The 22,429-nt window shown below is 41.5% G+C and overlaps 1 protein-coding gene across 3 annotated transcripts in view, besides 1 other annotated feature; it reads left to right on the top strand.

The window, feature by feature from the left end:
* The window catches only part of MROH2B (maestro heat like repeat family member 2B), a 73,323-nt gene extending 52,179 nt beyond the window's left edge, over window positions 1–21,144 (top strand). For 2 of the 3 annotated variants that reach the window (XM_011513953.2, NM_173489.5), the window contains 18 exons: window positions 146–281; window positions 378–473; window positions 734–823; window positions 1,194–1,314; window positions 3,686–3,783; window positions 6,429–6,581; window positions 9,085–9,242; window positions 9,758–9,884; window positions 10,371–10,558; window positions 11,710–11,850; window positions 13,519–13,633; window positions 14,244–14,390; window positions 14,636–14,818; window positions 18,331–18,486; window positions 18,813–18,944; window positions 19,385–19,487; window positions 20,487–20,552; window positions 21,006–21,144. In XM_011513953.2, coding sequence (XP_011512255.1) covers window positions 146–281; window positions 378–473; window positions 734–823; window positions 1,194–1,314; window positions 3,686–3,783; window positions 6,429–6,581; window positions 9,085–9,242; window positions 9,758–9,884; window positions 10,371–10,558; window positions 11,710–11,850; window positions 13,519–13,633; window positions 14,244–14,390; window positions 14,636–14,818; window positions 18,331–18,486; window positions 18,813–18,944; window positions 19,385–19,487; window positions 20,487–20,552; window positions 21,006–21,112 — 2,317 coding nt within the window. In that variant the 3' untranslated portion in view covers window positions 21,113–21,144. Of the gene's footprint in view, window positions 1–145; window positions 282–377; window positions 474–733; window positions 824–1,193; window positions 1,315–3,685; window positions 3,784–6,428; window positions 6,582–9,084; window positions 9,243–9,757; window positions 9,885–10,370; window positions 10,559–11,709; window positions 11,851–13,518; window positions 13,634–14,243; window positions 14,391–14,635; window positions 14,819–18,330; window positions 18,487–18,812; window positions 18,945–19,384; window positions 19,488–20,486; window positions 20,553–20,686; window positions 20,798–21,005 lie in introns of all 3 variants that reach the window. The other variant, XM_011513952.2, reaches the window with a different exon arrangement.
* Window positions 9,540–10,739: an enhancer, noted in NCBI's record as "CDK7 strongly-dependent group 2 enhancer chr5:41008527-41009726 (GRCh37/hg19 assembly coordinates)". NCBI's record gives its function as "activates an origin of replication core promoter dependent on BRD2, BRD4, P300/CBP, MED14 and CDK7 cofactors, with strong dependence on CDK7, by STARR-seq in HCT116 cells {active_cell/tissue: HCT116}" and the evidence as "EXISTENCE:reporter gene assay evidence [ECO:0000049][PMID:35650434]".
* Window positions 21,145–22,429: the final 1,285 nt, after the last annotated feature.

The following is a 22,429-nucleotide window of genomic DNA, read 5'->3' as shown; positions in this document are numbered from 1 at the left end:
ACCACCTTTCTCAACATCCCAACGTGTCAGAAAATGTGACACGTTAGTTGCCTGGTCAGATGTGATTGGCAGTTCTTGGGAATTCCACTGGGTATGTTCTGATGGTCACTGTAATATCCATTCCTCCACCTGGTTCTCATTTCAGTAAACTGAAACCTCAGCTCTCACTACAAGACCACCTTAACATTCTTGAGGAGAATATTCGGAGGCTGCTGCCCCTTCCACCTCTGGAAAATCTGAAAAGTGAAGGCCAGACAGACAAGGACAAGGAGCACATTCAAGTATGCACTAGTGAGGCCTAAGTAGGATGACAGTCTGCAGTGGGGCCTTACTCTCTCACCCCAGCCTGAGACTCACACACACATATTTGATTTCAGTTTCTCTATGAACGATCCATGGACGCCCTAGGAAAACTTCTGAAGACCATGATGTGGGATAATGTGAATGCAGAGGACTGTCAAGAAATGTTTAATGTGAGTAGAGCCTCCACTCAAACTGATTCTCATTCTCCCTAATCTGTTCTTCAATGTCCACTCCAAACTCTACTGCATTTTCCTTACATGAAGACATCCAGCTGGACCCACCCACACCCCACATACAGCCATCTACTTAAAAATTGTTTGTGGGGAGGTGAGCACCGTGTTACAAAAGAGGCAGAGACAGAAAAAGAGAATATGAAACTAGATGAATATGAAGAATACTAAGGAAAGAACATTTATTCTTTGACCAACAGCTTCTCCAAATGTGGCTTGTTTCACAAAAAGAGTGGGAAAGAGAAAGAGCCTTCCAGATCACTGCGAAAGTGCTGACAAATGATATTGAGGTAAGTAATCCCCTAGAATGAATAGACTTTATTGCTTGTGAACAGCAGGGATCTCTGAGATCTCTGGAATCCAAAACTCCTGCATGATGGATCGTGCATCTCAGAGTGAAGTGCTTTTCGGAACACTTTTGGAGAGAGATCTAACTTCAGAGTGCAGCTCACACGAATTGAGCTATTGGGTTTTCTTTACATGCATGCTTACTTCTCCACTGCCCTTAAAAATAGGCATCTTTTAGGAGAAAGTGCAAGATCAAATTTCATTCTAAGGACCTGCAGAGAGAAAATAAGAGACTTGAGATCCAGTGTTGGGAACATCCTGGGATATGACCAAGCTACCCCATCACAATAGGATGCCTCCTTTATCCTGCAGGCACCAGAGAACTTTAAAATTGGTTCACTGCTTGGACTTCTGGCTCCTCACTCCTGTGATACCCTGCCCACCATCCGTCAGGCGGCTGCTAGCTCAACTATTGGTCTGTTCTATATAAAAGGTGAGGGAAAGATGGGGAACCCACAAATGAAGAAAAGAAACCCATCTTCTTTTATTCTCAGCTTTTCTCCTTATGCACCTATGTCTCTCTCCCTCCTCCCCTCTCCTCTCTCCTCTTTCCTCATTTTCCTCCTTTTCTCCTCTCCTCTCCCCTCCCCATCTCTCTCTGTCTCTCTCTCTCTTTCTCTCTGTTTCTCCTTCCCTCTATAGTTCAGCAATTTCTGTTTTAATACCTTAATTATATCACAGAATCTGTCTCCTAGATCTGAAACCGGTATATCTTTCCTCAGTGGCTCTGTTTTTCTCATTTTTTAAAATAGAGATAATAACACTGAAGCATTATAAAGATCCATTAAAGTAGGTAAAATGTTTTGAGAGTCTCCGATTTAAATCACTAAGCAATTGGGCATATTAGCAATGCTTCCTCTATCACATGGTTTTCTTCAGAGAAAATTGCACTATTATCGTGGTACTAAGTGCCTTTCAAAGCTCTCTAAGAGACAGAACTTTGTGGAAATTTTCAGAGCAGGAGCTCCTCCTGCTCTCCAAGTACATGTGAATAACTGTCAATACCACAAAATATTAGGAATTTTTAAACCTCCGTCTCAGGCTGAAACCAACAATCAGGGCTCCCTGTCCAGGTTAATTGAGTCCATGTTTCACCAAGGACAGCCCTACGTTGTGTGTGTGCAGTTCTGCAGAGTAGACGCAGCCAGAAACAGTCTAGACTTAATGCCACCTTATGCCTGCCTATGTTCCACACATCATTCTTTAGGTATTCAAAATATTTATTGAGTGCCTTTCCATGTGTCAGGCACTGTTCTAATGCTGGGGACACAGAGATATTGCAGTTCCAATATTCACATTTTATAAGTGTGTTAAAGCCAAAAGGTAGGATTTGGTTGGGGGAAAGAGATAATCAGTCAAAAGAAAAGAAAAAACTCTTCAGCAGAGTCAAAGTAGGTACAAAAGTCCTTTGGGATATAGGAAGATAATTGATTAAAGATATATGTTTTTACCAAGTCAGGAAAAAAATAGAATTAAGGAAGTGAGAACTAAAGAACCATTCCAGGCTGGACGTGGTGGGTCACCCTGTAATCTCAGCACTTTGGGAGCCCGAAGCATATGGGTCACTTGAGGTCAGGAGTTCAAGACCAGCCTGGCCAACATGGTGAAACCCCATTGTCTCCCAAAAATACAAAAAATTAGCCAGGAGTGGTGGTGGATGCCTGTAATCCCAGCTACTCGGGAGGCTGAGGCATGAGAATCACTTGAACCTGGAAGGCAGAGGTTGCAGTGAGCCGAGATCACACCTGGGAGACTGTCTCAAAAAAAAAAAAAAAAAAAAAAAACATTACAGTAGTAACAGAAATATGCCAGTAGGGAACTCATAGGAAGAAAGGAATTTGGATTCTATTATTGTTCTACCTATTTTTCCTTTAGCCCACTTCATTTTCCTAAAATATGAAAAATTCAGGTCCTCAAACACTCTTTGTTAATAGAACGCCCATACTTTATAATTTACATCGACATTTTCGCCGATGGAAGAAACAAGCTTGGTGGAGAGAAAGAACATGTATTACTAAAACACCTACTAGACACAAGTAACAAGTGTGATACTAAATTAAATACCCATCGATACTCATGGACACTTCTCAGTTTTGAAAATGAGGAGTCTGAAATTAAGAAGTTTTCAGTTACTTGGACCACTGAAAGTAGAGTAGCTGGGCTTTGAGCTCAGGGGCATCTGACTTCAAAGTCCACGTGTGTCCCACTGGGCTAGGCTGCCTTCCATAGAATGGTTCATGTGTTAGTTTCCATGATTAATATACATTCAAATAATAAACAGAAAATCTTTATTGGTTAGGTCTGCATTTATAAATTGATATCAACAATCACTTACACAGTTGCTGATGTAAACTTCTCATTACAGTAGTTACTTTTCAGTTTCCCCAATGAGGGAGCTCACTGAAGAATAGAAATCCAAGAGAGATAGCAGCATAGCAGAGTAGTTGGAACCTGGGCATTTGTGTCAGACAGACCAGGGTTGAAATTCAGACTCTCCTATTTTTATTCACCGTGTGCCTTGGGCAATGTCTTCACATCTCTGTTCCCGCTTTCTCATCTGCAAAACCAAGACGAGAACAGGAGAGTCTACCTCAGATAATGTTTATGAGTAATAAATGAGATTATTGTATGCAGAGTATCTGCATGGTGCCCAGCATGTAGAAACCACTCAGTATGTGTTAGCGCTTATGTTCACCATCTCATCAGACAGCAGCTAATTTAGTGTCATATCAAAATATAGCCAGCCTCTTCAACCCCTATCAGGTCTTTGAACACTTAAACATTTCTCACTTTGTTGATTTTAGGCATTCACTTGGAAGTGGAAAGACTGCAGGGTTTGCAGGAAGGGCTGGAAAGTGATGACGTGCAGGTTCAGATCAAGATTTCTTCTAAAATAGCTAAGGTAATAAATATGGAGTGGCCAGGGGATGTAAAGATTCTGGATTGATTTCCAAATGAGTAAGCTACATACTCCCCACTGCAAAGAAGATAGATATTCAAGCTGAATGAGGGACCCGTGGTCCTGTCATTTTCTAACTTAGAGTACACATGCCTAGTCAACACTCATTACTGATCATTTCAGATAGTGGGAAACTTTGTAGACCAAGTGTCCTTTCCCAAAATGTGGGATGCTGTGGGTTGGAGTGGAAGGAACAAGAGCTTTGGAGTTAATCAGATGCACTCTGTGTGCACTGATTGAAGTTCAGTCTCCTCATCCTCAAGAAACAAAAACAAAAGACCATTTTGTGGTTGTTGTGAGGACTGGCCAATCAATTCAATCACTCATTCAGTCATGCATTCATTTACCTTCCTTCTCCTGAGCACCTACCATATGTAAAGCTCTATTCTAGGCACTAAGAAAGCAGAAAATACAATTCCTGTTTCACTGAGCTTGTATCTTAGTAAAGGAAATCCAAAAATAAGCATAATATCAGATAATGATAACTGAGAAAAATAAAGTCAAGAAAGGGAATAAAGAAGAGGTAAGAGGTGATCCTCTGGAGAAGAACACCCTGAAAGAGATAATCATGGAAATATCTGGAAAAAAGAATTCCAGGCAGAGGGAAAACAGCAAGTGCAAAGCCCCTGAAGTGTAGAAAGAGGGGTTAATGAGATCCAAGAGATAACTGGAGGCTGATCCAAGGGCCTTCTGGGCCTTTTTAAGGAACTTGGTTTTTTTGTTTGTTTGTTTGTTTTATTATATTTTAAGTTCTAGGGTACATGTTTACAACGTGCAGGTTTGTTGCATATGTATACATGTGCCATGTTGGTGTGCTGCACCCATTAACTCATCATTTAACATTAGGTATATCTCCTAATGCTATCCCTCCGCACCCCCCTACCCCACAACAGGCCCTGGTGTGTGATGTTCCCCTTCCTGTGTCCATGTGTTCTCATTGTTCAATTCCCACCTATGAGTGAGAACATGCAGTGTTTGGAACTTGTTTTTTGCTCTATTTGAAATCAAAAGCCAATGGAGGGTTCTCAGAAGAGTCAGGCCACCACACATAATTATGCCAATTTTGAAATGCAAAAGGGCACCCTCATGTAAGACAACATCATTCATAATGTAGACATTACAGATTTATATTGGTGTTATGGCAATTTTCCACAGGTAGCAGTAAAGGATCCAGCAAAATCAGTACGTTATGACAATACACTCACAGAGAGAAGTGAAATATCTTGAGGACGGGGCTCATATTCCTAGTGTGCAAATGCCTCTTCTAGGCTAACAGTGGTTCTGAGAGGAAAAACACAACCAGACTTACATTTCTGAGGGGCCACTCTGGCAGCTATGTGGAGACTTGAATATAGACTGTTAAGAGCAAAATTAGGGAAGTCAGTTTGTAGGAAACTGCAAGACTCCAGCTATCAAATGAGGCAATTAGAAACAAGGAAGGTGGCTGTAGCAGAGACATGAGTAATTGATCAGCAAATGACAGAGAAGCCATTTGAGAGACAGGAAGGGAAAATATGTCAAATGCCTTAAAAGGTGCCCGACACATAATAGGCGCTCAAAAACATGAGTTCCCTTCCTTCCTTTGCTCCTGAATCAACATCCATCCCACTGTGAGACAAAACAGCTAACCATGAAGCTTGGACAACCGGCAAGCATTTGGAGTTACATAGAATGGTAGCCATGGTATAGTCCTTTGATCTAATAACTCAGCAAATGGTTTGGATGTGCAAATATTCAAGGAAAGGAGTTCATATTTTCTCAATATCATCTGGCTACTTAATGCAAAGGGAAGACCATTGTAAATAGGAACGCTCTAGTGTCTACAAACTCATAATCATTACCATCTTGCTTAGTTAAATCCCCAGATAATGATCCTGGAACTCATTCAAACACCAAATTTTCACCTGCTTTCCTACTCCTTTTTCATTAATGCGCACACACAGACATACACACTCAAATTCACACACTGCTATCGACCAAGCATTCTGTATACTTCTTGTACCTAGAGACAACAATTGCAAAGTTTTTCCATTTTATTGACCTTTTATGGACTGTTCTTAATATTGAAATATGGAAGAGCAAGAAACAAGGCTCATAATAATCCATACTCCATATGTACACTGTCCACCACCTGAGTATTCAGCATGGTACTTAATACATATTGATAGATTTTCCTGAATTCTCAAGGTTTAGGTATTATGTGGCAGATTCAAGTCATGTTTCTATGATATATGAATGTTTGTAAAAGGACTTTATAATGTACATATTGCTATGTAAACATTCTGCATTATTTTTCCCTATGCTGTATGCTATAACTTTAGGCTTGGAGAGAAAATTGCCTTAGCAGGCTTAGGATTCAATAAATATGAAATGATAAAAAAGGCAACTCCACGGAAAGTTTGCTTAGTAATAAAAGGTCATGTCTATGCCCTGTTCTAGTATTTTCTCTAGTTTCTGTGGCCTCAATCAAAACTGTTGAAAAGTTCAGTGGTTTCTAATACCCAAAACAAACCACAACAGCATGTTGTAAGTATCTAGATATAAAATGGGGTGGTTGATTACACGAATCTTTCTGGGTGCATTTTCAGATTGTCAGTAAGTTCATCCCAAATGAAGAAATTCTGATGTTCCTAGAGGAAATGCTGGACGGTCTGGAGAGCCTCAACCCCACTTGTACAAAGGCCTGTGGCATATGGATGATCACTGTCCTGAAGCAGCAGGGAGCTGCTCTGGAAGATCAGGTGAACTGATAGCCAGTTTTAACAACTGAACAGATTTCTATCACTTCTGAAATGCCAAGTCAGCCACTTTCTCTGTTTGTCCACTGATGGGCAGCATGCAAAGGCTTGCACAACCTCAAGAGGCCTCATTAGAGACCTACGTTGTGTGTTTAACAACAAGGCTCACGTTGAGGACCTGTCTCAATTGCCTCTCTTGTCTTTTAATATAAAAGCTGTTCAAACTGTCTCTTTCTGGCTAGAGGAAGCAGCTCTGAACCGAGGCCATTTGGATGATGGAAAACAGGGTTGTTAGAGATGTAAGGATAAGAGTGACCATGTGGATGACTTTGAGACAACCACCAAGGGCAGGAGTCAAGGGCAGGAGTTTCTAATTTCACTGCTACCCTTCAGGCTTTTCTCCCACACCCCATAGTGTTCATTGTCTGATAAGCAAGGCTGCCACTGGATTGGGGAAAGTCCTCAATTCTTCTTCCCAACTGGAGAGTTAAGCAGAGTGAACAGGATTTAAATTCAGGAAGCTTGGTTAAGAGCTCCAAATGGAAATGCCTCTCTTTTCTCTTCTGAAGTCAAAAATAGAATACAAGTTATTCAAACATTAATAAGAAGGAAAAAATGGGCTGGATGTGGTGGTTCACACCTGTAATCCCAGCACTTTGGGAGGCCAAGGCAGGTGGATCACTTGAGGACAGGAGTTTGAGACCAGCCTGAGCAACATGGAGAAACCTCATCTCTACTGAAAATACAAAACTTAGCTGCGCATGGTGGCAAGCACCTGTGATTCCAGCTACTTGGGAGGCTGAGGCAGGAGAATCACTTGAACCAGGGAGGCACAGGTTGCAGTGAGCTGAGATTGTGCAACTGCACTCCAGCCTGGGCAATAGAGCAAGGCTCAGTCTCAAAAAAAAAAAAAGAAAAAGGAAAAAATCTTTCACTAAATGAAAGCAACTCAAAGAGAGTAAGAGAAAGAAGTTCTTGTCCCTATAGTCCAGTCAACTACCCTCAATTTAAAAACTCTCCAAAGCACAGCTTTTGTGTTAAGGGCATTGAAAATTACCTCTGTGCTAATTACTTTTCAATAAGTGTTTTTGAAAACATTTATTGAGCACCTACTATGTGGTAGGCACTGGGATAGACATGAGACAGCCAAAATTGATAAATGTGGAATGCCCATATATTTGTGTGTATAGCATAAAGAGTTGTTCACACAATAGGTAAAGGCTTACAATAGGGACCTAAATCCTCTCCAAGCATCATTGACCTGGAAATCTGTGGTAATCATAAATGGGGGCTATTTATAACTAAGGAATTATAATTCAGAGAAAATATATTTAAAATAAATGTCTAACTTAAATGTCTATCCAAAATAATAGAAATGTCTACTAGAAGCAGAGTTACTTTAAGATAGATATATGCCTGTGTCCATGTCAAAAATCCAAATGTATGATATCGTTCCCTACTGCCAACAGATTAACATCCAAATTCCTAAAGGTGGCATCCAGTGCTCTGAGATCTGGGTTCATCTTTTCTATCAAGTCATCTTTCTTTTATTATCTTCATTCTCTCTGCACTCCAACCTGGACCATTCTCCTACACTAGAAATCTCAGCATTTTCTTATGCCCATGTTCCCGTGATTTTTAAAAAATAGATTTTTTAGAGCAGTTTTAGGTTCACAGCAAAATTAAGCACAGTTCCCATCTACCCGCTCCCCTCACATACGCACAGCCTCCCGACTGTCAATATCTCCCACCAGAGTAGATTTGTTACGATCAGTAAACCTACATTGACACATCGCTATCACCCAAAGTCCACAGTTCCATGGACTGCAGTTCCAGGGTTCACTCCTGGTGTTGTACAGTCTATGGGTTTGACAAATGTATAATGACATGTATCCACCAGTATAAGATCATACAGAGTGGTTGCACTGCCCTAAAAATCCTCTGTGCTCCACCTATTCTCATGTCTTTTAACTTTACATCTTTATCTGTGTTCTTCTTTCTGACAAGGATGCCCTTTCCCACCATCTGTCTCCACCTTGCCTTTTGAAATTTCTACAAATGCTTCAAGACCCAAACCAAATGGCCCTCCAATGTGACTCAGTTCCTCCTGGATTCCCCTGTCGGTTGTATGCACCTCATGTATACCATTTGCCATAGACTGCCTTGACTACAGGCCTTTAGGTCTATGATTGATATTCTTTATTGGATCACTCATTTTGCAAAAAGGGTACATCTTTTTCATCTTTGGTAAATTCCGACAATGGCAAACACAGCACCTGTCATAATACACCCTTTCACAAAATGTTTCCTAAATTTAATTAGGAACAAATAGCCAATTCATGAACAATCCTCCTGAGTGAGAAATAGGCCACATGTGAAATCAATTATTATTTTTAACATTATTTAGAATTCATCAGCTGCCCATCCACGACAGATACCTGTTCTGAGTCATTCACATAGAGGGAAAATGGCAACTTAATGTTTGACTTGGCTTTTTTCTCTTTAGCTATTGGAGATCTTAGGCACAATCTACCATCACATGCCAGTCCTCAGACAAAAAGAAGAAAGTTTTCAGTTCATTCTAGAAGCCATCTCCCAGATAGCCAGCTTTCACATGGATACAGTTGTTGTCAACCTTTTACAGAAGCCTCTGCCTTTTGACAGGTAGATCCTTATTGAACTGATTCCTTCTCCTAGGGAAGGCCACTCTGAAAGGCACTGGGGAGGGATTTACGGTTTGAGAGCAAGATAGCAAACAAAGGTTGAAAATAGCTCATCTGAATAACAATTTAACAATTGGTATTTGAATCACAAGTAATGTTTTTCCAAGTGCTTTTCATATATATAAGATATATATGTATTGCATAATAATATTTTTAACAATATGCCATAGGAATAAGAGAATATTAAAAAGTGAATATTCTCCTCTTTCTGGTGGCCTAGAATGCACCTACATGAGAGGTTCCCATCTTAGTGGACTTTAACAAAGTTCTGTAACCCAAGGCTAGAATGCTGAATTGTTATGTAAAACATCTTTCTTATCCCCAGGCATGGCAGCATGTCCATCTGCCCTTGAAATTGTCATTAGTCATAATGTGATTTTAGAGTGAGTCAGATGGAAAAGCTTACAGCCCGAGGGGTTGTGCCTTATCTACCAATTTCCTGCTTTGCCACCCTAGGGACACAAAGACATTGTGGAAGGCGCTGGCTGAAAAGCCAGCCTCCAGTGGGAAACTCTTGCAAGCCTTAATAGACAAACTGGAGACTGAGTTAGAAGATGACATCGCCAGGGTTGAGGCAATTTCAGTGAGTTGGACAGCCTGAACCCATCACTTGCCTGAGACTGCGCCATCTTTATGATCTATCCCCACCTGGAGCTTGGTGCTGTCACATTAATGACACCTCCTTCTTCTCTCATACCCTAACTTTACTCCAGTTTATAGTTGTGGCTCTACTTTTGTCTGTGGCTGATCATTTTTAGAAGCAAATTTCTCATCAACCCCCCAAAAAACCTATGTATCTATATTTCTAGATAAGTCTGTAAGATATCCAAAGGACCCTTTTTGTTGAAAAACCCCAATGCTGAAAACATTTTATTTTACATGACTAGTGTCCCCTGGCAGTCACAGGACTAACATGGCAGGCCCTGAGTTGAGAAATTTCCAGACAATAAACCCTCCCTTTTCTGTGTGTTTTTACTGGTGGAGAAAACAAAGTTGAAAATCAGCCCAGAGAGAAGATGGCCTTGGAGAAAATGAGACTGCCTGACCAAGAGGCCCTTTCTCCCCTCAGGTGGCCTGTGCTATGTATGAAGTGATCTCAATGGGCACCTCTGTCACCGGCTTGTATCCAGAGCTGTTCACTCTCCTCCTGAAGCTGGTTAGCTGCACACTGGGCCAGAAGATGCTCACTTGTCCCTGGAGCCATAGGCGGCATGTGATGCAGCAGGGAGAACAGCAGCAGATCCCAGACCCCTGCAGGTAAACGGCCAATCAGGAAGCATCTTCCACAGTGGTCCTAATCCCAGACTCCAGGAGTGGTGCTGCAGAAGTCAGGGTCTGTGCTTTCTGTCATAGCATCCATTGTCCATGAAGAAACAAGGCTCTACAAGGCTCTACTCTCCCTAAGCCGTGACACCATAGTTCTTCTTGAGCCAGTATCCAGTGTAGCTACACAGAATAGTCACTTAAAGAATAAGGGGCTATGCTTTCTTTCCTAGAGGAACTACTATATTATCTTTGGTTTCTATCATTGAGATCTTTCTAGAGAGGCTGGAATCTTGTGATCTTCAAGGCCACCAGGGAAAAAAGAAAAATAAAAATAAATACCATATTTCATAAATTCTGAGACTTCAGCAATTGAAAAAAAGCAATTTTTTGCATACCATTGAGAAAACAGAAAAGAACTCCAAAGTAAGCAGTGAATCAATGCTTTCTTAAACTTTAAAATTTTTATTCTGTACTTATCAAAAGAACTCTTTTAGGATTATGAAGTATGAATTTTCATTTCATATCCCATCATTCTGTTTCCCTGCATTTTGCATAACTTTTCATTCCAATGTAAAATTATAGTGCAACATTTTTAAAGACACTTTAAACACCGTTTAGTCAACACGTATTAGGTTGGTGCAAAAGTAATTGCTGTTTTTACCATTAAAAGTAATAGTTCCAATAATACGTGTAACTTTACTAAAATGATGGTAATATAAAGAGCTATATCTGAACCAGGCAGCACATGTGAATGTACAGACAATAGCAACTACATCACAAGTACTGTCTGGCCAAGAACAATTGTAACACACATCTACTGCAAGATGCATCCTGATTTCAGAGATCGTGTTTTAGAATCAGTGAAATATGGTATTTTTCACTTTTTATTCTTATGGCCTATTTTTTCTTATGGGGGGAGTGTTGACAAGATTTTGTGGCATTACTTACTGGCCCACATCATCTGCATGTCCCCATGGATCCCAAGGCTAAAATGTGAGCATAGGGCTGCCTGTTTTTCCCTTACACAACATCCCCTAGTCCAGGGGTGGGAAAGCATTGTGAGGAGTGGAAAGGCAAACTTGGGAATTTGCAATTCCCTATAAGGGTCAACTTAGTTTTGTAATGCTGACTGTCTCCTTTAGGCTTTCAACTGCTACTTTAAAATGTTTGCAAGCCCAAGCCATGAGAGAAGGCCTTGCAAAGGAATCTGATGAGGGGGACAACTTATGGACTCTACTCAGCAGTCCTAGTACCCACCACATAGGCGTATGTTCACTGGCCAGGTAATGTGCACTTTTTCTAGAACCAGATACAAAGAAGAAAACAAAAACAAACAAACAAACAAAAGTGCAATACAGGCAACTTCACTGAGCATAATTGATTCACTTAGGACTAATAGTCGAAGGAGGACAAACAGGAAAGAAAGAAAAGGGAATGGGAAGAGATGGTAAGATCAGCCCCACACACACCACTCACCTCAAGAAACATGATTCAGGTGAACATCTTTAGACAAATTACACTTATTTTTTGAAAGAAATATTTAATATTCACATACCTAGAATTCTGTTGAACTTTTTTTAATCAGCTTTTTAAAAAAAATTTTATTTTTTTATTTCAGTAGGTTTTTGGGGAACAGGTGGTGTTTGATTACATGAATAAGTTCTTTAGTGATGATTTCTGAGATTTTGGTGCACCCATCACCTGAGGAGTGTACACTGCACCCAATATGTAGGCTTATCCCTCACCTCATTCCTGCCCTTTCCCCCAAACCCCCAAAGTCCAATGTATCATTCTTATGCCTTTGCGTCCTAATAGCTTAGCTCCCACATATGAGACAGAACATACAATGTTTGGTTTTCCATTCCCAAGTTACTTCACATAGAATAATAGTCTCCAATTCCATCCAGGTTGCTGCAAATGCCATTATTTCACTCCTTTTTATGGCTGAGTAGTATTCCATGGTATATATATACCACATTTTCTTTATCCACTCATTGATTAATGGGCATTTGGGCTGGTTTTATATTTTTGCAATTGCAAATTGTGCTGCTGTAAACATGTGTGTGCAAGTATCTTTTTTGTATAATGATTTCTTTTCCTCTGGGTAGATACCTAGTAGTGGGACTGTTGGATCAACCGGTAGATCTACTTTTAGTTCTTTAAGAAGCTCCACTGTTTTCCATAGTGGTTGTACTAGTTTGCATTCCCACCAAGAGTGAAAAATTATTCTCTTTTCACGGCATCCATGCCAACACCTTTTTTTTTATTATTATTATTTTATTATGGTCATTCTTGCAGGAGTGAGGTGGTATCGCACTGTGGTTTTGATTTCCATTTCCCTGATCATTAGTGATGTTAAGCATTTTTCCATATGTTTGTTGGCCATTTGTATATCTTCTTTTGAGAATTATCTATTCATGTCCTTAGCCTGCTTTTTGATGGGATTGTTTAGACAAACTGCATTTAAATTGGACAATTGGATAGGCCATTTTAAAATTTAAGCCTTGGTGGGCTTTCATCAAGCATCCCTTTTTTCTTTTTTCTTTTTTCTTTTTTTTTTTTTTGGAGACAGAATCTTACTCTTCGCCCAGGCTGGAGTGTGCAGTGGCGCGATCTCGGCTGACTGCAACCTCTGTCTCCTGGGTTCAAACAATTCTCCTGCCTCAGCCTCCTGAATAGCTGGGACTACAGGAGCACACCACCATGCCTGGCTAATTTTTTGTATTTTAGTAGATACGGGGTTTCACCATGTTGCCCAGGCTGGTCTCGAACTCCTGAGCTCAGGCAATCCACCTGCCTCGGCCTCCCAAAGTTCTAGGATTACAGGCATGAGCCACCACCCCCAGCCAAGCATTCCTTTTTAGACAAATTACTTGCCTGATGAACAAACAGACTAAGATTTCCTCCATTGTTTAGTAAAATATGTCTCTGCTAAAATGTGCATTTTCTAGGAGCATGGCAGTGTGGCAACACGGAGTCATACTGGACATCATGGAACAGCTGCTCTCATCTCTTACCTCCTCCTCGGAGAACTACCGGATAACCGGCGCAGCTTTCTTCTCTGAGGCAAGGGAGAACAGCCCTCAGAGCACACTCACTGGGTCCCCATAGGGTATTTCTCTTATGGTCTGGAGCCCAGTGTGCACTGGAACCAGGGAAGAGAGACTTCAAGGGGGGGGGGGGTTTCATAGAGGAGAGACCAGCTACTGCCAGATATATGGTACCTAAGCAGGGGGTGAGAGAGGAAAATAAACCACCTCACCCACCTCCTGCCCTCTAGTTTGCAGAAGGCAGAGAAAGGGGGACAATAAATCTGTGAGGGATCAAACAAAGCATTGTAGCACTGACGCTTCAAATTCCGGCCTGAAGACTATTCCAGCCAATCCAGAGAAGGAAAACTATCAGTCATTCCTGTTTTCCCTGCCCCATTTTCCATTGAGACTAGACATCTGTTATGCAGGTAACCGGGTTTACATCACCATGCAAGCTTGACCTGTGCGCTGCTCATATCTAGAGCTCAGCTTCAGCAAGGCTTGCTGGTTCACCAGAGGGCTTCCTCCTCCGCTGCACAAGCAGTGGGGTCCTCTCTTTAATTGTACTTGTGATGTCTTTGGCACTCTCCTGAAGGAGGGGCCACGCCCTTAACTAAACGGGAGGAGTGTGTTGATTATTTCAGCTCATGAAGGAACCAATCCTTTGGAAGCATGGGAATCTGCGAAATGTGCTGATCTTGATGGATCAAAGTGCCTGGGACTCCAACGCCACTCTGAGGCAGATGGCCATCCGAGGGCTCGGCAACACAGCATCCGGGGCTCCTCACAAGGTAAAAGGCGTTTTAAGGGGAAATGGTTCATTTAAGTAGAGTTTTGAAATAATGATTTAATAACCCACGCCTAGTTGTTGCATACAAATTAATTGGAAATCCAGATACATTGCTGAAGTGGTAGTCCTTCGGTTGAACTACATGTGACCCTGACAAAATTTCAGTCCTCTTGTCTGAGGACTCCTACCCTCTTCCAGATACGCATAGAACAATTTTCAAGATTAAGAGGTCTTATTTCAAAATAGGTGAAGAAACATAAGCAGTTAATGCTAGAATCTATCATCAGAGGCCTGTATCACCTAGCTCGCACTGAAGTCGTCTGTGAAAGCTTGAAGGCTCTAAAAAAAATCCTGGAGCTGCTGACAGACCGAGACGTGAGCTTCTACTTCAAGGAAATAGTGCTGCAAACAAGGACCTTCTTTGAAGATGTAAGTGAGCCTGTTTAGGAACTTCCCTCCCCAGAAGTGAGTGAACAGAAACAGGTTTAGGTAGTGCTCACAGAAGACATTGTCAGTGTCCCACCCATATTCCTTGGCCTGCCCCAGACAGGTCACCTGCAGACAATCTCTATACAAGCTGTTGGCTTCCTGTATCTCTCTGCCTGAGGGTGCTCTATGGCCTGGCAGTCATGATTGATCTAAGCTAGTTGAGCCAGAATTGTTGGGGGAAGAAATGCCCTAGGAAGGACCCTCAAACAATAAGAAACAAGAGTTTGTAGATAAATTTCCCGGTTTCCTCACCCCTCAGAAAGGGTTGATTGGCTGTTACAGAGATCTTAGGATCCACAGAGTTTAAACTATTTACTGTCTGGCCTTTTAGAGAAAACGTTTGCCAGCTTTTGATGTACTCCATAATCGCAATTTCAAAAAAGATCAGTCAGCAGTCCTAGGCAGAGAAGGGTCATTTTCCTCTATGCCTTCCAGGAAGCACATTTTAGTATTTATTTTTTGGTTATTCATTGCCATCAATGTAAAAATCTATTTTTAACCTAAACCTATTATTTTGTAATCTAAACCTGCTTCCTCATGTAGTATTGTCAGAGGAGATGGAAAACTGCTAGTTGCCTTCTCTAGTGCATTCTTCATAAACATTAAGGCTTTATTTGATTACCTATTTACCTTACAGTCTGCAGACTTGAGAAGTCTTCATTTCTTTCATTATTCATCATAAACCTAATTTTTCTGCTCATTAAATATTTTGCAAGCCTGTGACTGAGTTGGAACTCTAAATGAGGCTCAAGAAGTATTGAATAGAATCTAAGGATATATTACCTCTCAAATCCAACCTTTTCCCATTTCTTTGCTCCATTATTTTTTTTAATTTTGCCCTTCCTGATTTTGGCATGCTAACTATATGAACCTCTAGATTTTAGTCTGTAATATATGCCCACAGCATTCTTCAGTTTCGTATTTTTGCAGTTTTTCTTGTCTATGTGCTAGCCTAGACCTGGCCTTTGAAAACATCTTTCTGCTTGTTTCCAACTATTTCCTCCAATTAACCAATATCACTTTTAGGCCAGGCATGGTGGCTCACGCCTGTAATCCCAGCACTTTGGGAGGCTGAGGCAGGTGGATCACCTGAGGTCAGAAGTTTGAGACCAGCCTGGCCAACATGGTGAAACCCCATCTGTAGTAAAAGTACAAAAATTAGCTGGGTGTGGCGGTGCGCGCCTGTAGTCCCAGCTACTAGGGAGACTGAGACAGGATAATCGCTTGAACACGGGAGGCAGAGGTTGCAGTGAGCCGAGATCATGCCACTGCACTCCAGCCTGGGCAACAAGAGTGAAACTCCATCTCAAAAAAAAAAAAAAAAGCAATTTTTAATTATCTTGTCCTCAAAAATGCTTACTGGGGTAAAAATAACAAAGATATTCTTTTTCTTCGTTGTTCAGGGCTGAAGTCACCCCTTCAGAACCCCAGCTGTTAAGTTTCCTGGATTGTTGTTGATCCAATAATAATTCTCTTAGATCTGAGCCTCCAGTAAATCACAAGTCCACTTAACAATTTAGTGGTCAAGATAATGTTGCCCAGTGTCATCAGAGAAGGATAAAATGTGCTAAAGCCTTGCTGATTGTTAGCTCAGACCTTGCTCATCTCTAATAGGTGTCAACTCCATCACGTTTGCATAAAAGTAAAGTTGGACAAAACTTTGACTCTTATTTGTTCTCCAGTAATGCCATTTTTACATAAGTATATTTAACTCTATGATCTATTGCCCCAATATTTTTATGTAGATTAAGCATAGCTTTCTATAATCTCCAAGTTTTCTTCCTTTGTTTCTTTCAATATTTAAATACTTTCTTAGACTTTTCAAAACATGGTGACACTTGAATGAAATGGTAGAACAGAAAATGTGGCTGCTGCCCCATGCTCCATTCCCTTCTTGCTACTATTCCCCACACTGTCACCCTGAGCAATCGCTTTACCCTCTGTGACTCCATGTTCTCAAGTGAACATGAGGACATTGGACTAGACGTTCTCTAATATTTCTCCCAGCACCCAAAATCCTTTTGCCACTTTTTCTTTCTGATTTTTCATCATCTCGATTGGTTGATTGTTCCTGGACCTATCATTAGCTCATTGATTTTGCAAAATTCAAGCTTTTTTAACTAAATGTCTCTCTACCTTTTTGGTACCTTGTTTTTGGTTAGCTTCCTCTTTCTAAAGAGGTATCTTTTAAAAAATGTATCCTGACCTTATTCCTAATAAATCTAAAAAATGTGTTTCTACTTTCATTTTCATTATACAAAGTCACATCTGAGCTTTTCTGGCCTCTTCCCAACAAGCCATCATTTTTTAGAAGATCTATATTAACTTTATTGTTTATCTAAATAATATTCTGCTATTCAGGACTGCTTTTTCTTTAATCCCTTTTTGTTCATATGGGTATTTTAAACTAGTTTTCTGGGTCTAAAAATAAAAAAACCTCCATGAAATTCATCTCACTTCGTTTCTTCCCTGTCGGAACTCTGAAACGTAACTCCAATGAGGTAATAGGAGGCCATCTTCCTCCACCACCACCTTTCTCTTGTTTTCTTTTTTTTTTCTTTCTTTTTTTGAGACAGAGTCCTGCTCTGTCACCCGGGCTGGAATGCAGTGGCACGATCTTGGCTCACTGCAGCCTCCTCCTCTCAGATTCAAGCAATTCTCACGCCTCACCCTCCCAAGTAGCTGTAGCTGTGACTACAGGCACGTGCCACCAGGCCTGGCTAATTTTTATATTTTTAGTAGAGACAGGGTTTCACCATTTTGGCCAGGCTGGTCTCAAACTCTTGACCTCAGGTGATCTGCCTGCCTCTGCTCCCAAAGTGCTGGGATTACAGGCATGAGCCACTGCACCCGGCCTCTCTTGGCTTCCTAAAATCATCGCCTGCCATCCTGGACCAAAAACAAGGAAGTTCCATAATTTCACATACTCAAGAGTAGAGCTAGGCACCTCTGTGTTTAACCTCTCTGAGAACCAAGGCCCAAATTCCCAAGCTGCCTGTAATCCCTTTAGAAAATATTTGGTGTCATGGAGAATAGTACCAAGCCTTGGACAATTAAGATTAGAGGTCCCATAATTCTAGGCTAGTAACGCAACCAAGTAAAATACATAACAAGCAGAAACCCTCCCTGGCTTTCTCTATGAGTACCCCTGTGTATCATTCCTGTGGTCCTGGTCACACTTCCCCACTGGCTACTCAAAGACAGAAATCAATTCTCTGGCATCACATAAACCCCAGACCCAGGGTTTTTTAAACTCATGTAGTATGGAGAGAAAGCTTCAGGGAAAGAAAGCAAGTTCTTGGAACATTTAGAGGCCGTGACTATGATGGACAAGTGCCTGGGTTCCAGCCTTCTTTTGCTGAAGCGGGAAGGGTGGGATGAGAGCCAAGAGTGTGCTAGCAGGGAATGGCCTCTGAGAGGATATTCACCACGACATGCATTCGTCACCACAGGAGCAGGATGATGTGAGATTGACTGCCATCTTCTTATTTGAGGACCTGGCACCCCTAACAGGAAGAAGGTGGAAGATTTTTTTTGCTGAAGAAATAAAAAAGAGCCTGATTTCATTCCTTCTGCACCTTTGGGATCCCAACCCCAAGATTGGAGTTGTAAGTGCTCTCCACAGACACCTGCACCTCCTGCTCTCCCCATGGCTGAGAAGTACCAATAAGCCTGGTCTAGCTGCACCAGGAGCCAGATCTAAAGTCACCCCTTAGCGCTGAACCTGAAAACCTCTTCTCCAATTCTAGGTTCTTCTTACTATCTCTTCCCAAGCTTACTCTTCCTTGAAACTGGGAAGGTGCCAGCAATGACTATAAAGCCATTCACACCACTGACTTTTAGTGCTTCTTTCCCAGTACTATTCAGCATTTTTTCCCTTCTGGAAGGAGATCCTAACGTTCTGGACTGTGATGCAGAAAACTCTGTTTTCCAGGCTTGCCGTGATGTCTTGATGGTCTGCATTCCCTTTTTGGGCCTCCAGGAGCTCTATGGGGTATTAGACCGTCTCCTTGATCAGGATCTACCAAGGGCCAGGGATTTCTACAGGCAATTCTGTGTGAAACTGGTGAGTGTCCAATAGATGCCGCCTCCAAAAAAGGCAGGACAAGGGTCTAGACAAATCGCAGAAGGGCAAACAATGTAGCAAGGAATTTCTGGCCAGAGCCAGAACTGCCTTGGAAGGATGGCAGTGATATCCTGATTTCACAGGATATAGTGACATAGAGGTATCCTGCCACAGGACCCTCTGCTCCATTCCCAAGTCCTGACTGGGATATATTCTCCTTGGTTCCTAAAATTCATATCTGTTGATTAATCCCTTAAACTCTGATGGCTTCCTGATTAAATGTAGATCAAAATACCCATAAGACAATTTTCAGCCAATTAATTTATGGCTGTGTGAGTGCTCACTGGCCTTTACAAATCCGTTCTGAGGACCTATAGGATGCCAAATGTCACAAAGGTTCACTTTCCAGTTGCCCTCTTTGAAATTCACATCTCTTCTAGGCCAAGAAAAACCAGGAAATTCTGTGGATCCTCCACACACACTCCTTCACCTTCTTCACCAGCACCTGGGAGGTGATCAGGAGTGCAGCTGTCAAACTCACAGGTGAGTACACATCCCCATTTCCTACCCAGATATGTCTGCTTTTTCCACCTAGTTTTGCTTTGACCAGAAGCTGTCCAGTATGAACACTAGTAGGACTGGTATAACTTTTTTATTAAAGCCCAGAAAGGGCTTTTATCTTACGTCATGTAACATCCTCCCTCAAAGAAACCTGCTTCCTTTTGCAGTGAAAACTCATAACCTCTCCTGACTCACCTACACTCATTCTCCTCCCATCTGAGCCCTTCATGCTCCTTCTGGCTCCAAGTCCTTGCTCCTTCTTTTCCCCAGATCTTTGCTCCCAGCTGCTGCCCTTACATAAACACTTCTTCACCTCATCCCATAAGATAACCCATACTCAACATCCAAAGCTCAGTTCAAGCTGAGAGCTTTGGCAACATGATACAAGTGGGAAGTATGTTCATGTGGGGGCCAGCAGCCCCTGGCTCTGCTATGTGATTCTGGAAATTGACTTAACTTTATGTTACCTCTCTGTCTGATGTATAAAATAAAACATAAGTAAATCTCTAGAGATCCTTCTATCATGAAATTCTAAGTCTTACTTTGAAGCCTGTTCCAACTAATTCAGCCCACAGACAACAGGCCCACTCCCTTCACCACCTTTAAGGCCAAATTAAAAATCTGAAGATTCCTTCTTGAATCATACATATGATCCCCCCACCAACACATTATGAAATTTTTGAAGACAGAGACCCTATCTTACACACATTTGAAATCCCAACAACAACTAGCCTCCTTAGAAGATCATTGTGTGAACTCTGCCAAATACTCTGGATAAGTGACTACTTGCAGACATGGCACTCGGGACCCAATAGAAGTCACCCTGACATCATTCTAGGGGGTGCAAAGGAAGTCATATAGTTTGCTCATTCACCAGCCTACCATTTACCTTCTCACCAGGTGCAGAGTCTAACCTGCTATACTTTTCATGGCTTCTTCCTCTATAATGAAATCAGTAACATGGTCTCCTATTAACTTTAGATGCCGTTGTTCTCAATTTGACCAGCCAATATGTGGAGTTACTAGACAGAGAACAACTGACCACACGTGAGTACCAACCTAGTTTCTTCCCAGCATATTGTTACATTCTTAGGAAAAGAGAAAATATTGCTGTTCTAAGTTCCACGTCAGCCCAGAACTTGAAAATCTTAGTACCAATTATTGTCTCTGATGCTCTCTAGACACTAGAATTTCTCCAGGGTACAAAGCAATCTCCAGCTCCAGCCCTTTGCAGGCATCAGAAACACCAATAGACTACGATTTTCCAATTGCCTAAACCTACTGATCACAAGGTCAGGGCCTTCTCTTCCCTTATTTCAATGTTAAAATCATTTCTTGTAGTTCCACATCCTACCTTTTAGGATAAAATGTGAGCATGAGGACCTGAGCCCCACTTGGGTCTGACCCTCAGTGCTAAAAAGTTGGGCCTTGGCTTGGTTTGCCCTTCTTGCTGGGCTCTGACTCTCCTCCTCCACTTATTTGCTATTCTTGCCATTTCAGGACTCCAAGCACTTCGTCAAGATCCGTGTATTAGTGTCCAGAGAGCAGCTGAGGCTGCTTTGCAAACCCTCCTGAGAAGGTGTAAAGAGACAAGCATTCCTCTGTAAGCCATCAAGAAATAAACTGCTGGCTTTTCCTATATCTGACTCCTGTCTTCATCCTATTACCTCACAAACTTGGAGCATCTTGAGGAAAGAGATGCTGCCTACGATGGGGATATAGAAGTGGTGGTATATTTCTTCCTCTCTAGAATCTCCTTGGTGGCTTCCATTAGCAAAAAGCAAATCCCACAAGTTCACTTCAGGGATAACCTGTGATTTGGATCGTGACAGCCACATGGCTTTGCCTAGGTTAGCCCTCTGTCTTGAGAAAGTAAGTCCCAGCAGATATCAAAAAGCGGCAGAATTTGACCCACATAATTCTGCTGCCACTAAAAAGAGGTCCACTGTTATTTTCCGCATGTAGCCCTTTCCTCTCAGATCTTTGCCAGCTTTGAATTACTACCCACACTCCTCTTTTTAAAATCAGTCTTATGATAAACTTTAACCTGCCTATTCTCTCCCAGGTTGTAATTTATGTGTCAAGAGTATGCCAGGTACTTTTCTACAAAAGAACCTGTCTGGCATTCTATTAAATATCATCATTTCCTTTCTACTTTTATCCCAGAACAACAGTGCATATGCACGCACACAAGCACGTGTGTGTGTGTGTGTGAGTGCGTTCATTTCTTCATAGTATCTGGATTATTATTCTTTCTTGTTTTTCACAATGCATAAGTGAAAGGTTACATACATGAAATTACATACCTAAAAACAAGTTTCTTTTTTTTTTTTTTTTTTGAGACAGAGTCTCTCTCCGTCACCCAGACTGGAATGCAATGGTGCGATCTCGGCTTACTGCAACCTCCACCTCCCAGATTCAAGCAATTCTCCTGCCCCAGCCACCTGAGTAGCTGGGATTACAGGGGCCCACCACCACACACCTAGCTAATTTTTGTATATTTTAGTAGAAACAGGGTTTCACCATGTTGGTCAGGCTGGTCTTGAACTCCTGACCTCAGGTGATCCATCTGCCGTGGCCTCCCAAAGTGCTGAGATTACAGGCATAAGCCACTGCCCCCAGCCCTAAAAAGAAGTTTCTAACACAGATACTGGCACTCATTTAAAAGCACCATCATGATCATTTATTAGCACCATTATTAATATATTACTTTAGAATGTCCGTGCAAATTTTTATTACTTATATTCTAATATCTTCATCTCCAAGCTGTTTGGGGAAACATCTTTGTTTCTACAAAACCTAGGGAGCAGTAGAATCTTTTGGGTAAGAGATTATGGACTAGGAGTCCATTTCTTTATTCATTTAACAAATATTTATTGAATGCCTACAGTTTTATAAGGCATTGTTATAGCCACTGGAACTAC

The sequence above is a fragment of the Homo sapiens genome, chromosome 5, assembly GCF_000001405.40.
Source record: "Homo sapiens chromosome 5, GRCh38.p14 Primary Assembly".
Lineage (NCBI taxonomy): Eukaryota > Metazoa > Chordata > Mammalia > Primates > Hominidae > Homo > Homo sapiens.
This window is presented reverse-complemented; position numbering and strand designations above follow the sequence as displayed.